This window comes from Homo sapiens, chromosome 15, assembly GCF_000001405.40.
Source record: "Homo sapiens chromosome 15, GRCh38.p14 Primary Assembly".
NCBI lineage: Eukaryota > Metazoa > Chordata > Mammalia > Primates > Hominidae > Homo > Homo sapiens.
Window position 1 is genome coordinate 30,589,784 of NC_000015.10, and position 14,142 is coordinate 30,603,925.

General features: G+C 39.9%; 1 long non-coding RNA gene and 1 pseudogene across 4 annotated transcripts in view, besides 1 other annotated feature; one reads left to right on the forward strand and one right to left on the reverse strand.

The window, feature by feature from the left end:
• Positions 1-7,506: part of a non allelic homologous recombination region, noted in NCBI's record as "15q13.2-13.3 gamma inversion proximal recombination region, recombines with the 15q13.2-13.3 gamma inversion distal recombination region", that runs on past the window's edge. NCBI's record gives the evidence for it as "EXISTENCE:nucleotide sequencing assay evidence [ECO:0000219][PMID:25326701]".
• The window catches only part of ULK4P2 (ULK4 pseudogene 2), a 28,154-nt pseudogene extending 17,229 nt beyond the window's left edge, over positions 1-10,925 (forward strand). Inside the window, exons 4-5 of the transcript NR_027470.1 lie at positions 6,877-6,955; positions 10,319-10,925. The product of NR_027470.1 is annotated as a ULK4 pseudogene 2 (transcript). The remainder of the gene's footprint in view (positions 1-6,876; positions 6,956-10,318) is intronic.
• The window catches only part of ARHGAP11B-DT (ARHGAP11B divergent transcript), a 34,584-nt gene continuing 21,853 nt past the window's right edge, over positions 1,412-14,142 (reverse strand). For all 3 annotated transcript variants that reach the window (NR_157595.1, NR_157594.1, NR_157593.1), the window contains one exon: positions 1,412-4,509. This is a non-coding gene — a long non-coding RNA (ARHGAP11B divergent transcript). The remainder of the gene's footprint in view (positions 4,510-14,142) is intronic.

Genomic DNA, 14,142 nt, shown 5'->3' on the forward strand with positions numbered 1-14,142 from the left:
TTTGTTTTGTTTTGTTTTCAAGAAGGCCTCTCAGTGGCTTACCTCTGTGCCATGCTTTGGAGTTTGAGCTGTCTTCTCTTTACTAACTGTAGCTCTGTAGGACTTGGGAGTCAACCTTACCTTCTTTTTTCCTCCCTATTTTGTAGGTCTTGTTTGAGTTAGCTTTTCTTTTTATTCCAGGCCTGTAAATTTTACTAGATTGTCTCTAGGAATTTCATTTTACTAATTTGCTTCAGCCTGCCTGCCTGCCATCTCTTTTTACTAATTTGCTTCTGCCTGCCTGCCTTCCTTCCTTCCTTCCTTCTTTCCTTCCTTCCTTCCTTAATTCCTTCCTTCCTTCTTCCCTTCCTCTCTCTCTCCCTCCCTCCCATCCCTTCCTTCCCCCCTCCCGTCCCTTCCTTCCCTTCTTTTCTTTCCATTTATTTTGAGATAGAGTCTTGCTCTGTTGCCCAGGCTGGAGTGCAGTGGCGCAATCTTGGCTCACTGCAACCTCCGCCTCCCGGGTTCAAGCAGTTCTCCTGCCTTAGCCTCATAAGTAGCTGGGATTACAGGTGTACGCCACCATGCCCAGCTTATTTTTGTATTTTTAGTTCAGAGATGGGTTTTCACCATGTTGGCCAGGCTGGTCTCGAACTCCTGACCTCATGTGATCCTCCCGCCTTGGCTTCCCAAAGTGCTGGGATTACAGGTGTGAGCCACAATGCCCAGCCTCCTCACCCCTCCTTTAGCTATTATATTACTTCCTAGATTTCTTCCTCTCTATTTCACCCTTTTTCTGTTCCTGAAACCCCTACAGGATGGGTGTGGGAGTTTGTGTCTCTTGACTCTTCTTTCAAATTTTCTTTTGCTTTCTCACTTGCTCTTGTTTATTGAGATATAATTCACATACCATAAAATTCACCATTTTAATGTGTACAGTTCAGTAGGTGTCAGTATATTGAAAACTGTTCAACCATCGCCACTATCTAATTTCAGAACAGTTTTCTCACCCAGTGAAACCCAGTACCCATTCTTCTCCAACCCCTGGCAACAACTAATCTACTTCTTGTCAGCTGATTTGCTATTCTTGATATTTCATATAAATGGAATCATACAGTGTGTGGCCTTTTGTGTCTAGCTTCTGTCATTTAGCATAATGTTTTCAAGGTTCCTCCGTATGGTGGAATGTGTGAGTACTTCATTCTTTTTCTAGCTGAATAATCTTTGTATGGCTATTCCACATTTTGCTTATGTGGTCTTGATGGACATTTGGGGTTGTTTCCACATTTGGCTATTATGAATAATGGTGCTCTGAACATTTGTCCACAGGGTTTTGTGTGAACATATACGTTTTTATTTCTCCTACAGTGGTGAGATTGCTGGATAAAATGGTAACTCTGTGTTGAACCTTTTGAAGAACTGCCAAAGTCTCTTTGTTAAACTTTTATTTTAGGTTCAGGGGTACACATGCAGGTTTGTTATATAGGTGAACTCATGTTATGGGGGTTTGTTGTATGAATTATTTGGTCACCCAGGCACTAAGCTTGGTAAGGACCAATTGTTATTTTTTCTGATCCTCTCCCTCCTCCCACCCTCCACCCTAAATAGGCCCCCGTGTCGATTGTTCCCTCTTTGTGTCCATGCAAACTTTCTTCTTTTATTGCTCTTCCTTGACTTTATCTTTGAGCTCTCAAACTTGATATTTATCCCCACTCATTTTATTATTTAGGATTTCCAGTTAATTTTTTAATTTCAACAATCATATTTGAAAGTTTTTGTTCATTTTCTTTTTCTCTGATTGGTCCTTTTTCCTAGCTGCCTATATTTGGTGTATAATATACTTTTGAATTTGAGGATAAATATTAGGATTATAAAAATCCTCATCTTGGAGCAGAATTTAGAATTAAATATTGTTATTAATATTTAAGGCTAAACATTAGGATTATATAATATAAGCCTGGAACCTGGACTTTGAAAAAAAGGGAACAAAATTAGGATTATGAACATTGTATTCTTATCTCTTGAACTTGCAGGTCACTTCTTTTTCATCATGGTCCTGCTTTTTAATGCTGTTTATTTCTCAAATGCCTGGTGATCTCTGGTTCTTCATTTATATTATGAATAAATGATTAAATTGATTGGTATAGAAGTTGGCAATAGGAGTTTCCTTTATTCTTGCCTAAGTCTCTTTCTCCAATAGCTTCTCCTTTAAAGAAAGGGCTGGTATGTGGGTAGGTGAGGCCTGTTGACTGGTTGACTTTAATTTGGGATTCCAGCTGGCTGAAGATCAGTAGGCAGGCTGGAGGCCTCTGCAATTGCCAGGGTGGGTTTTTCTTTGCAGTGGAACTGGCTTTCCTCATTTATTCCCTTCCCCGCTTCGGTATCTGGAGGACCACAGTTGCTGCTTCCCACATCCATCCATCCAGTGAGCAAGGTGGATTGCTCACTGTAGGAATGATTTTCCACATTTACCCAGGAGGCCAGGGCTGCAGGGTTTATTCTGTGTACCAGGGAAGGGAGATGGAAAAGAGACAGGACCTGATTGGCTCTGCTGTTCCTTGTACAAGGACACAATTTTTCCTTGTGCAGTTGTTTAATCTGATTATTGTCCTGTGGCTCATTCTTTCTTTTTGTCTTAGTTTATTCCAAGTCCCTGAGGCTTCCTTGGGAACGTCTGTCTACCTGTGGTTCTTAGACAGGGGATTCCTTTGTTGATTCTCTGTCAGTCTTAATTCTATTTGTGCATGTCATCTGAGATTTTCTCAAACTTTCTAGTCCACTTTTAGCCCTCCTTTTTGTTTCCAATTATCATTTAATAAAAAGAGCTTGTATTTTAGAGACTCTAGAGGGTTCAGAAAAGTGAGTGTCAAGTGTTCAGTGTGCAATCATTAAAGACAGAGAATATCTCATAAGTTTGCATCTGTGTTACTTACACGATTGTGATTTAGGGATGCTTTATTTCTTTCCCTTTCCCTTTTATTTTTCCTTTTGTTTCTTTTATGTATTTTTTATTATTATTATTTTTAGAGACTCACTCTAAAAAAAATAGGGTCTCACTGTGTTCCCCAGACTGGAATGGGACTACAGGTACATGCCACCATGCCTGGCTAAATTAAATTTTTTTTTTTTTTTTTTTTTTTTTAGAGACAGGGTCTCACTTTGTTGGCCAGGCTGGTCTTGAACTCCTGGCCTTAGTGATCCTTCCATCTTGTCCTCCTAAAGTGCTGGGGATTACAGGTGTGAACCACTGTACCCGGCCAAAGTTTTTATTTTTTAATATGATGTATAAGGTTTAGAAGTGCTTTATTTTATTTATTTATTTATTTTTGAGACGGAGTCTCGCTCTGTTGCCCAGGCTGGAGTGCAGTGGCACGATCTCGGCTCACTGAAACCTCCGCCTCCTGGGTTCAAGCGATTCTCCTGCCTCAGCCTCCCAAGTAGCTGGGATTACAGGCGCCCACCACCACGCCTGACTAATTTTTGTATTTTTTAGTAGAGATGGCATTTCACCATGTTGGCCAGGCTGGTTTTGAACTTCTGACCTCAAGTAATCAGCCTGCCCTGGCCTCCCAAAGTGTTGGGATTACAGGCGTGAGCCACCATGCCCAGGAGAAGTGCTTTTAACTCCACACGTGTTTAGGTTTTTTGGTTTGTATTTGTTATTTTTACTTTTTTCCTTTTGCTACATCAAAATGAGTCCTTTATAATTTCTGCCCTAGGGAATTCTAATAATTTATCTTTGTGGTCCAATATAAAATCATTTTAAATGTATGCCATGAATGTAGTCAAGTATTGATAATAATGTAGTACTAGTAGTTTGCTCAGTCAGCACAAATTGTCAGGACACAGTGGTAATTTCTGCATGTGGATTATCTCCTGATTCTTAGAACAACATGAAACCAGGCTCATGAAAGATGAGTAATTATCCCAGGGTACTGTCTCCCTCACCTCCAATGGTGGGCCAGAGCTAGGTCCAAGACTTTGAATTCTAGAGTGTTAGACACCATCCTATGCAGCCTCCCACTGAGTAAGGGTGGTCACTGTTTGTAGGGTGTAGAGTTTGATAGATACGTCTGTTACTTTGACTTCATTAGTTTTATTTAGGATGCTTGAATGTGTGAATGTATTGATTAATATATTCGTTATTGCCTTCTCTCTGTGCTTGGAAGAGAAGAAAATTGAAGTTTACCACTACCATGGGTTTACTTTGCGTGCTTTGTTATTTGGTGTATAAAGATTCACACCTTAGATCTTCTGTAGGTCATATGGTGTTTCGTTTAAAGGGAATCTTCTTCTGAAGAGTTTAGCCTTGAATTCTGCTGAGATTTACATTGGCAATCCTGTTTGCATTTTGTTTGCCTTGGACAGCCATACTTTTATGCACTCCTTTCCTACTAATGTGTTTATTTTGCTTTTGATGTTGATATATTTGTTCAACCAACATTTTTAGATGCCCGAGTGCGCTCCAAGCACTGTCTAGGTGTCACAGTGGCGATCGGGATACAGTCCTGCCTTCATGGATCTTCTGGGCTGGTCGAGGAGACAGACAATAAACCAGTCAACGAATGAATAAGTAACTGCAAAATTTTAGTTCTGCTCTAATGTGGTAGCCATTCACTTCATGGGGGTTATTTAAATTAGTTAAATTAATAGTAGCTTACTCATTCAGCATGTATTGTCGGACACAATGGTACTTTCTGCACATGGATTATCTCCTTTGATTCTTTTAACAACATGCGGTATGTATTGTTATCGGTCCTACTTACGAGGTAACCAGGACTAGGCACATGAAAGATGACTAATTACCCCAGGGCACTGTCTCCCTCACCCTCAACTGTGGGGGTAATTTTTAAAATAAAAATTAAGGCCAAATACAGTGGCTCACGCCTATAATCCCAGCACTTTGGGAGGCTGAGGTGGGCAGATCAGTTGAGCTCAGGAGTTCAAGACCAGCCTGGACAACATGGTGAAACCCTGTTTTTACTAAAAATACAAAAATTAGCCAGGTGTGGTGACACACACCTACAGTCCCGGCTACTTGGGAGGCTGAATTGGGAGGATTACTTGAGCCCGGGAGGCATTGCAGTGAGCGGAGACTGCGCCACTGCTCTCTAGCTTGGATGACCCTGTCTCCCAAAAAAAAAAAAAAATTAATTTGAATAAAATTTGTTGTTCCTCACTTGCATGTGTCATATATTATGTGCTTGATAGTCATGTGTCTAGTGGATACTGGATTGAACAGTGCAGATGTGGGACATTTGTCAGTGCACGAAGGTTTGGTAGACAGTGGTGCCTTAGATGCCGTCATGGAGATGGGTTGGTTCTGAGGTACAGTGTCAAGTCACTGGGGGCACCTGGAGTGGTGACCTGAGAAAACCTGAATTTTGAGAAGGAACCTGTACTGTGAGGGTGTTGTCTATGGGGCATGTGGTACTTGTATTTAGGATTTTGGTAAAAAGTGACTATTCATAAGCTATTTAAAGTTTCTATTTTAAAAGTATAGGGTTTTTAGGTAGTGTGTTTTCTTTTGTTCTAATAGGAATTGTTTTGGTCATATTAGGGAAAATAATTGGCTTGTTGATACATTTTTATTTCCATTGATTAAATCTGGTAGCCATTATTTACTTTTATAGATTGAAAAATGGTTCAGTGTTTCAAAAGTATTTTGAGCTTGTCTTTGAAAAGAGATAGACAGGCAGGTGCAGTGGCTCAGACCTGTAATCGCAGCAGTTTGGGAGGCTGAGATGGGAGGATTGTTTGTCAGGAGCTCAAGGCCAGCCTGGGCATCATAGCGAGACCCCATCTCTACAAAAAGTAAAAAAATTAGCTGAGCGTGGTGGTGCACGCCTGTAGTCCCAGCTACTTGGGGGGTTGTGGTGGGAGGATGGCTTTTCCAATTATCCTACAGATATTTTTCAAAATGATTACTTTTAAACTATAATCTTTTTATTCAGAGGTAGGATGCTAGTTCTACAATTGCCTAGGTCTTCTTTAAGTTGTATATGTTAAGAAATTTTAATGGGCAATTTAATAAGTGTTGAAATTTCTAAGAATTATTTCTGTATGTTAGAGTTGTGATAACGCAGACATTTTCCCTGAAGTACTTCTCTGAGTCTGATTTGTTTTCCTCCATGGGTGCCACATAGGTTTATTTTAAGAAGGTAAAAAATAAAAGCTGACTAAGGTACATATTGATTATTCCAGACAACATGCAGACATCACCCAATGAGTGCAGTTCTCATCAACTCACCATTTGTTTCAATTAGAAAAAATTCTCATCAAAACTAATTTTTCTGCATGAAATACCTTTTCAAATCACACTGAATGTGATTTATTAATTGTGATTTATCAAATTCAGTTTTCTGCTGGATACTAAAGGCACACCTCATTAAGACTAGTGATTATGGAAATAGTACAATATTTTAGAAACTTTTGATTGTAAAAATTTCTTTTAAAATGAATACATACAGATATGTTATTGTTCAGATATTTAGCACTTACGTAGAAACTCACTGATCTACTAACAAGTAGAAAAGAGACCTTTAGCCAAATGCCTCTGTACTCAGCAATAAAATGATTAATTACTGTGTTGCTCTTTTCTCTGGTTAAGGCTTTTAACAAATTTTGTTTTTCCTTTTACTATTACACCATAACTTGTTTAAATTTTGTTGCTGTTGCAGAATTACAGCAGACATTACAGTTCATGTCTCCCTGTGTATACGAGGGAGAGTTTCTCTGGGCTGTGTACATGGGGGAGTGTGGGCCTGACCTGTCACATTCAATTTTTATTTCACAGTCTTATATCTAATGCTCATCATTGCATAATGTAACTAGCTGGGGTTAGTTTCCTCAGTCCCTGACTCTTCTCTTCAGAGCCTGTTTTCTCTCCGTTTACAGATGGGCCAAGGTTGCTCGGGTGATTGGTTTACTGGCTTCGCACAAAACTGATCTCCAGGAAAATACACCTGTTGTTGAGGTAATGTCTTTTATGACTGAAATGTGATGAATGACAAGAAGTACTGTTGTTGATTCTGTAATTTAGAACATGCGGCTTTCCTTGACCTTCACTTGACTTTTCTTTGTGGGATTGTGGAAATTGTTCAAAAACTTATCACCTCAACAGACCTTTAGGCTTAAACATAGCGGCTCATTTACAATGTAGTCCATCATTAAAATGGCACAGCAGAGTTAACAAGGCTCGTGAACCCTACTCATCATTATTTCATTTGTTTTTGAATAAGACTTGTGCATTTCCCGTTTTCTTGTAGTCTGTCCAACATTTTGTTACAGGTAATGTATTTCCTAATTAAATCATAGCTTATAATTCAAAATTCAAATTCTTCTGGCTTTTAGTGTTTTCGTATGAAAGATTACTTTCTACCTATTCTGTTAATGTATATTACACTTTATTGGTAATAGAGTGTTATACCTTGAACTGGGAGAGGCTCAAGAGTCAGTGTAGGTGAAAAGAACCAAGGCTTTTTAGGGGAAATAGCAAGAGGTCCTGAAGGAGGTTAAAAAGGGTAAAGGAGAGAGGATTTTGTAGAGCTGAAGCTGGTTGTGTGGTATTTGGGGCTTTAAGAGGAATTGGAAAACTTTCTATGTCTGTGTTGTCCACTATAGTAGCCAATTGGTATTTGGAGCCTCAAGAGGAATTGGAAACTTTTCTCTCTGTGCCATTCACTGCAGTAGCCAATTGCTGGGATAGTATACCAGCTGGCCTTACAGTGTCTGGGTGGAGATTAATATAATTTCACTGTATTTCCCTTGCTTACAATTCCATCTCTATTTCCTGCAAACTGTTGGATCTCTGAGCTACTAGTAAAATGCCACTAAGTCTAATTGTTTCCTTTTTGGGGGGGCCTAAAATAAATGAATTGTTACCTATGTGATTACTGATGGTACCCAACTTGGTTCTCAGAGATGTGTCGAGTAGATTTTTATCTAAAAGATTGAGCATATAGGGCAGTATTACCAGGAAGATGAGAAGGCTTAGGATCTTAAAAATGGGGGTTCCTTCTGATGGCTCAGAGCAAAAGGTCTCCAGTGAGATGGAGTAGCTATAGAAGATGGGAGAGAACATAAAGTCCAAGACAAAGTCCCAAGATTTTAGAGGATATTCCTGCATCGTCAGAGCAGGCATTTGTTGCTCAGAAGCTGTGAAGGAAGAGCCTCTGAATATGTAAAATATGACTGTTGAATTAAATGATTCAGTAGTTGCAGTAGATTATGGATACTTTAGGAAGCTGAGTTAGTGAATTTGAAGATCAGTTGGATGAATTCTCTTAGGATTCAGAAAGAAAGAGGATAAAGATTGTGAATTAAAAAGGCATGGATGATAGTTTCAGATGTGTTCCACTATCCAGTATAGTAGCCACCAGCCACTGTGGCTATTGAGTGCTTGAAGAACAGCTAGTCTGAATTGAGATGATCAACTTATAGAAAAGAATACTATGGGCACCCTGTAATTTCCAAACCCCTTGTTCTACTTGATCTTTTTCACAGCATATATCACCACCTGGCATTTTATGTATTTATTTCTCTTTCCATACTAGACTACAAGCTCCATTGGAACAGGGATTGTGAATTGTCTTGTTCAACACTCCACCCCCGTGCCTAGACAGTGTCTTGTGTATATCTAGATACTGACAAATATTTTGAAATAAGTGAATGAAAGTGTATCAGTATGCTTGGGACTCCCTGTAGCAGTGCCTGGAAGATGGTATGTTTTGCTGCTGCAGGAATTCTCAAGGGACTGGGCAGAGGGCATGTGAAGTAATCTGGGACCTGCTTGTCACCCTGGGTGATGTGCTGCCCTTGTTCTACTGGTACTTGCTGTTGCGGCTGCTGCACTCCCACTTGGAGAGTTTGGCCCAGCAGTTCCTGGACCATATTTGTTACTTGTGCTCACTCAGGTTGAGTTCTGTGGCCAGTTTGTATTCTCAAAGTATTTCTGCTACTCCAGTTATACTTTGTCAACGTTGTATTCCTGGTCCTGCCTCAACTGAGAGGAAAGGGTGGGTGTTAATTCCCGAGGTTCTTGTATCTTTGATTCCGGTACTGTTCTCTTCATGGGTGTTTGCTGATGCTTTATTAATTTGAAATGCAAGACCTTAGGGAAAATCATACTTATTTCATTTAAAAAATGGTGTGTACTGAACTATCTGGTGAACTGTTTTGAATTACACACACTGTATTGTGAACTACATTTGGTTGGATAGTAGGGAGCTTATATAATAACTTGAAATTGAGCCAGGTGCTCCTTTGTGATGCCATCTTAATTTTATTATTTCTCCACACCTTTTAGTTCTTTAGTTCGTTACTTTTAATGGCAAAATCTGTGAATTTCTTTCGCATCAACCTATTTCCTGCTGTGAGCAATTGGCTGTGATAATTTAAGGAGCCACTAGAGGTCATTCAAGCACTAGAAAAAAAGTTGTGCAAGTTTTAAGAATTTGTTTCAACTTCCAGAAGCAGGATCTGTAGAGGCTGAGCAGGTACATGGTACCATGTTTCATCTTTTTCCTGGTTTTTTAGAAGTTTCTGCTACAGGATGTGTGGCTCCATTCCATTGGTGATTTTTACCATTTGAGAGGAATCAGATGAATGAAAACCATTATAGCCTCTCCAGAAAAATGCAGTCAGCACCTAGCACATGATTTCAGGGGATCTGAAAACTCTGCGGAGTCCACTGGTGAATCTTTGGTTCATAACTCCTGAGACCAGGTTTCTGTAAAACTCACAATTGGGTGCTTGTAGATAATTTTTCAGTAATCAGTAACAAAATTTCAAGTGTAAGATAAATCCTGAATTCTCTATTAGATTTACTATCAGTGAACAAGAAAAATTGTGGTTGAAGTTCCTGTAAGCATTTTATTTTTATTTTACTTATTTATTCATTTATTTTTTGAGACAGAGTCTCGCTCTGTTGCCCAGGCTGTAGTGCAGTGGTGTGATCTCGGCTCACTGCAACCTCTGTTTCCCAGGTTCAAGAGATTCTCAGCCTCAGCCCCAGCCCCACAAGTAGCTGGGACTGCAGGTTCATGCCACCATGCCCCGCTAACTTTTGTATTTTTAGTAGAGACAGGGTTTCACCATATTGGCCAGGCTGGTCTTGAACTCCTGGCTTCAAGTGATCCACTTGCCTTGGCCTCCCAAAGTGCTGGGATTACAGGTGTGAGCCACTGCACCAGCCTGGTACTTTCTAATATTTTGGATGCTTTCTTACTTGCTAAGCACTTTCTCTTACCTGGAATGTTTTTTACATTACCCCCTCCCCCAGTGATCTAATTTCTACTTTCTCTTTAAAGCCCAGCTAACATTCCATTTTCTCCATCAGGCCTTCCCTAACAGTCCCAGAACTCCTACATTGCCTGGTGTGCTGACCTAAAGCCCTCATTAAGACCAGTAACAAATCAAGCCTATCTTATCAACTGACAACACATTCTGGAACCATGGCGTGTCCATGGATAAGACATGAAGTCCTTCTTTCAAGACTTGGTTTTCTGGTACTGGAAAATACCAATATGGATAAAAGACCTTCAAAGCTGCTACGATGGGTAAGGAACAATGCACACAGTATACCATTAAGGCAAAGAAGATAGTCTTAATCCTGTATGAAATGCCAATGAAGATGTAATTAATGAATAGACATTTCATTGAAATGAAATCAAAAGACATTTTCCTTCTCTGACATAACAGAGTAGAACTCTCTAGTAAGAACACAAAACTGACCAGCCTGACCAATGTGATAAAACCCCCTGTCTCTACTAAAAAGACAAAAATTAGCCATGCATGGTAGCAGATGCTTGTAATCCCAGCTACTCAAGAGGCTCAGGCATGAGAATCTCTTGAACCCAAAAGGTGGAGGCTGCAGTGAGTCGAGATCGCACAACTGCACTTCACCCTGGGCGACAAAGCAAGACTTTGTTTTTTAAAAAAAAGAAGAAGAAGAGAAAAAGAAAAAGAACACAAAACTCTGGTTACTGCTCTATGAGAATTAAGTGAATGTGAAGGAGAAGTTGGAATAATATTACAAGTTGGTGAAATATTGGAATTCTGGTCTGTTGGTGATTGGTCTTCATCTTTCCTATAAGAGATAGCTCATTACACAATGTATTCTCATTTGTCTGAACGGGATTATTTCCCTTAAGGCGATGGCCTCTTCTGCATCTTTATGTCTCTAATGTCTAGCATGGGAACTACTCAATATATATTTCAGGTTGTTGACAATGATTGCTGCTGTCTATTCCATCTAGGTAAGGGTTTTTGCATTCAAAAGGCCCTTTGCCTTAAGACCTAAAGAGGTTTTGGAACATCAGCAAGCATCCATCTCGAGGTAAATAACTGGAATCCCAATGGGCTGTGTGTGTGTGTCTGTGTGTGTGTGTGTGCGCGTGCTAACTGGAATCCCAGTGGGGTTTGTGTGTGTGTGTGTGTGTGTGTGTGTGTGCTAAATGGAATCCCAATGGGGTTTTGTGTGTGTGTGTGTGTGTGTGCGCTCATGCCTGCATACACATGCGTGCACTTCTGGTACATTTTGAACAGGCATCAGATTATGTTCCCACAGCCCCTCTTCATCAAAATGAAGACCTTGTACGTCTGAAATACAGTTTGTGAAAGTCAAATTGTTATCCCTGTGACATAGAACAGCCGTTAAAAATGTATTTCACTGGAATGTCATTCTAAATGAATATTTTTAAATAGATATCCAAAAATAAGAAAATACAGTGATTTTAGTGTAATAAAACTGATTTCACAATTGTTTCAAGAAACTCGGAAAATAAAACTTCAAACTGGAAAAATGTGGCCATAAGAATGCATGGAGCCGGACGCGGTGGCTCATGCCTGTAATCCCAGCACTTTGGGAGGCCGAGGCGGACAGATCACGAGGTCAGGAGATCGAGACCATCTTGGCTAACACGAGGAAACCGCGTCTCTACTAAAAAATACAAAAAATTAGCTGGGCGTGGTGGTGGGCGCCTGTAGTCCCAGCTACTCGGGAGGCTGAGGCAGGAGAATGGCGTGAACCTGGGAGGCGGAGCTTGCAGTGAGCCGAGATTGAGCCACCGCACTCCAGCCTGGGCAAAAGAGGAAGACTCCGTCTCAAAAAAAACAAAAACAAAAACAAAAAAAGAATGCATGGAGTTAGTTCATTCTTCTCGCCCCCTGGAACTTCTGATCAAAAGTCAATACCTTTGTGACCTACAAGTCTCTTTATTTGCCCTCCATTATAGACTGAGCTGTTAATAACATTTAATGAGCTCACATGGATTCACTGGCTAATAAAGAAGAATAGAGTTGAGGACATTGCTGCCCTGTTTATGCCCAAAAATTACCCTAAACTGAAAGTTGCTTTGTGTTCCTTCACTCCCCTCTGCTGGTAAATTTTAATATAGTTCTTAATTTTTTTAAGTCAAATTGATAGAAACATCAATTGTGTTTTTAAAACTGTAAGAAAAAATAATGTTGAACATCACAAAAATGTACTCAATCTTTCCCAAAACCCATTTCTTTCCAGTTAGTTTTCATAACTGTAGGTTCTTAAAAAAAAAAAAATGAACACTTTGGCCGGGTGCGATGGCTCATGCCTGTAATCCCAGCACTTTGGGAGGCCGAGGCGGGTGGATCACGAGGTCAGGAGATCGAGACCATCCTGGCTAACATGGTGAAACCCCGTCTCTACTAAGCCAAAATACAAAAAATCAGCCAGGCGTGGTGGCGGGCGCCTGTAGTCCCAGCTACTCGGGAGGTTGAGGCAGGAGAATGTTGTGAACCCGGGAGGCGGAGCTTGCAGTGAGCCAAGATCACGCCACTGCACTCCAGCGTGGGTGACAGAGCAAGACTCCGTCTCAAAAAAAAAAAAAAAAATGAACATGTCATCCATACTTCTAAGGTGTTGTAAAGATGTGTAAAGTTTTCACTTTTTGCATCATATTCACATGTGGCTATATGCCCTTTTCTCTTCAAAGTTTTCTTTATCTTGATTACTTATCAGAGGCTTGACTGTTTTATTATCTCAGTCTTTTGAAAGAATCCTCCTTTAGTTTTATTTTTTAAATCTAGTGGTTTTTCTTTTTCCTTTTTCCTTATGTCTTAATTATTTCCCCCTTTTTGTTTGTTTTGCTTTTCCCAGTTTAGTGGATCAATGTAATTTAAATTGCTTTTTAAACAAACATATAAGGGTATACATTTTCGTTGGGTGCTGTTTGACTTTGTTGCACAAGTTTTAAAATCTATTTTTTAATAGTTTGTATTTTCTAAATTATTTTATTACAACTTTTGTTCACATTGCTCTTACTATTAATTTTTTATTTTTATTAATTAATTAATTAATTTATTTATTTATTGAGATGGAGTCTTGCTCTGTAGCCAGGCTGGAGTGCAGCGGCATGATCTTGGCTCACTGCAAGCTCCACCTCGGGGTTTCATGTCATTCTCCTGCCTCAGCCTCCCAAGTAGCTGAGACTACAGTTGCCTGCCACCCCATCCGGCCTTTTTTGTATTTTTAGTAGAGATGGGATTTCACCGTGTTAGCCAGGATGGTCTCGATCTCCTGACCTCATGATCCACCCACCTGGGGCTCTCAAAGTCCTGGAATTACAGGCATGAGCCACTGCACCCTGCCCAAAAAGCTTTGTGTTTTTACAGATATTAGACATGTTTCTTGTTTAAGAAAAAAAATCTTAACGAAAACGCAGGAGAATAAGAGAAACATTTTTCCAAAAAAGAGAAATCATTGTGATTATTTTATCTTATTAGAATGTTGGATAATATAGTCTGCTTCATTAATCATCAAGCATGCTATGCATTTTCCATTTTTATAGGATCTGTATCTCAGTTAAGGTAATACTGGTAATTTTTGTACTGTAATCAAAGATGAAAAATATAGGCCAAAATCATAGACCTTGCATAGAAGCTGGATAATGAAGACAGCTAAGGAGAAAAACATAGATACACACACACAGACACACATATATATAAAGTATACACACATATATTTTTTAAAGTTTTAAAGCTTTTAAAGCAAAAGCCGGCCCCTCTTCTCTTCCAGAGTGGGAGGCCTCTCCCCTCTCTTAGAGTGGGTGGGGAGAGCGGTTGCCATGGGCAGCTTTCCTTGTGAGCCACAGGGCCCTCTGGACACACTGCTTTCTGGCCACGCCC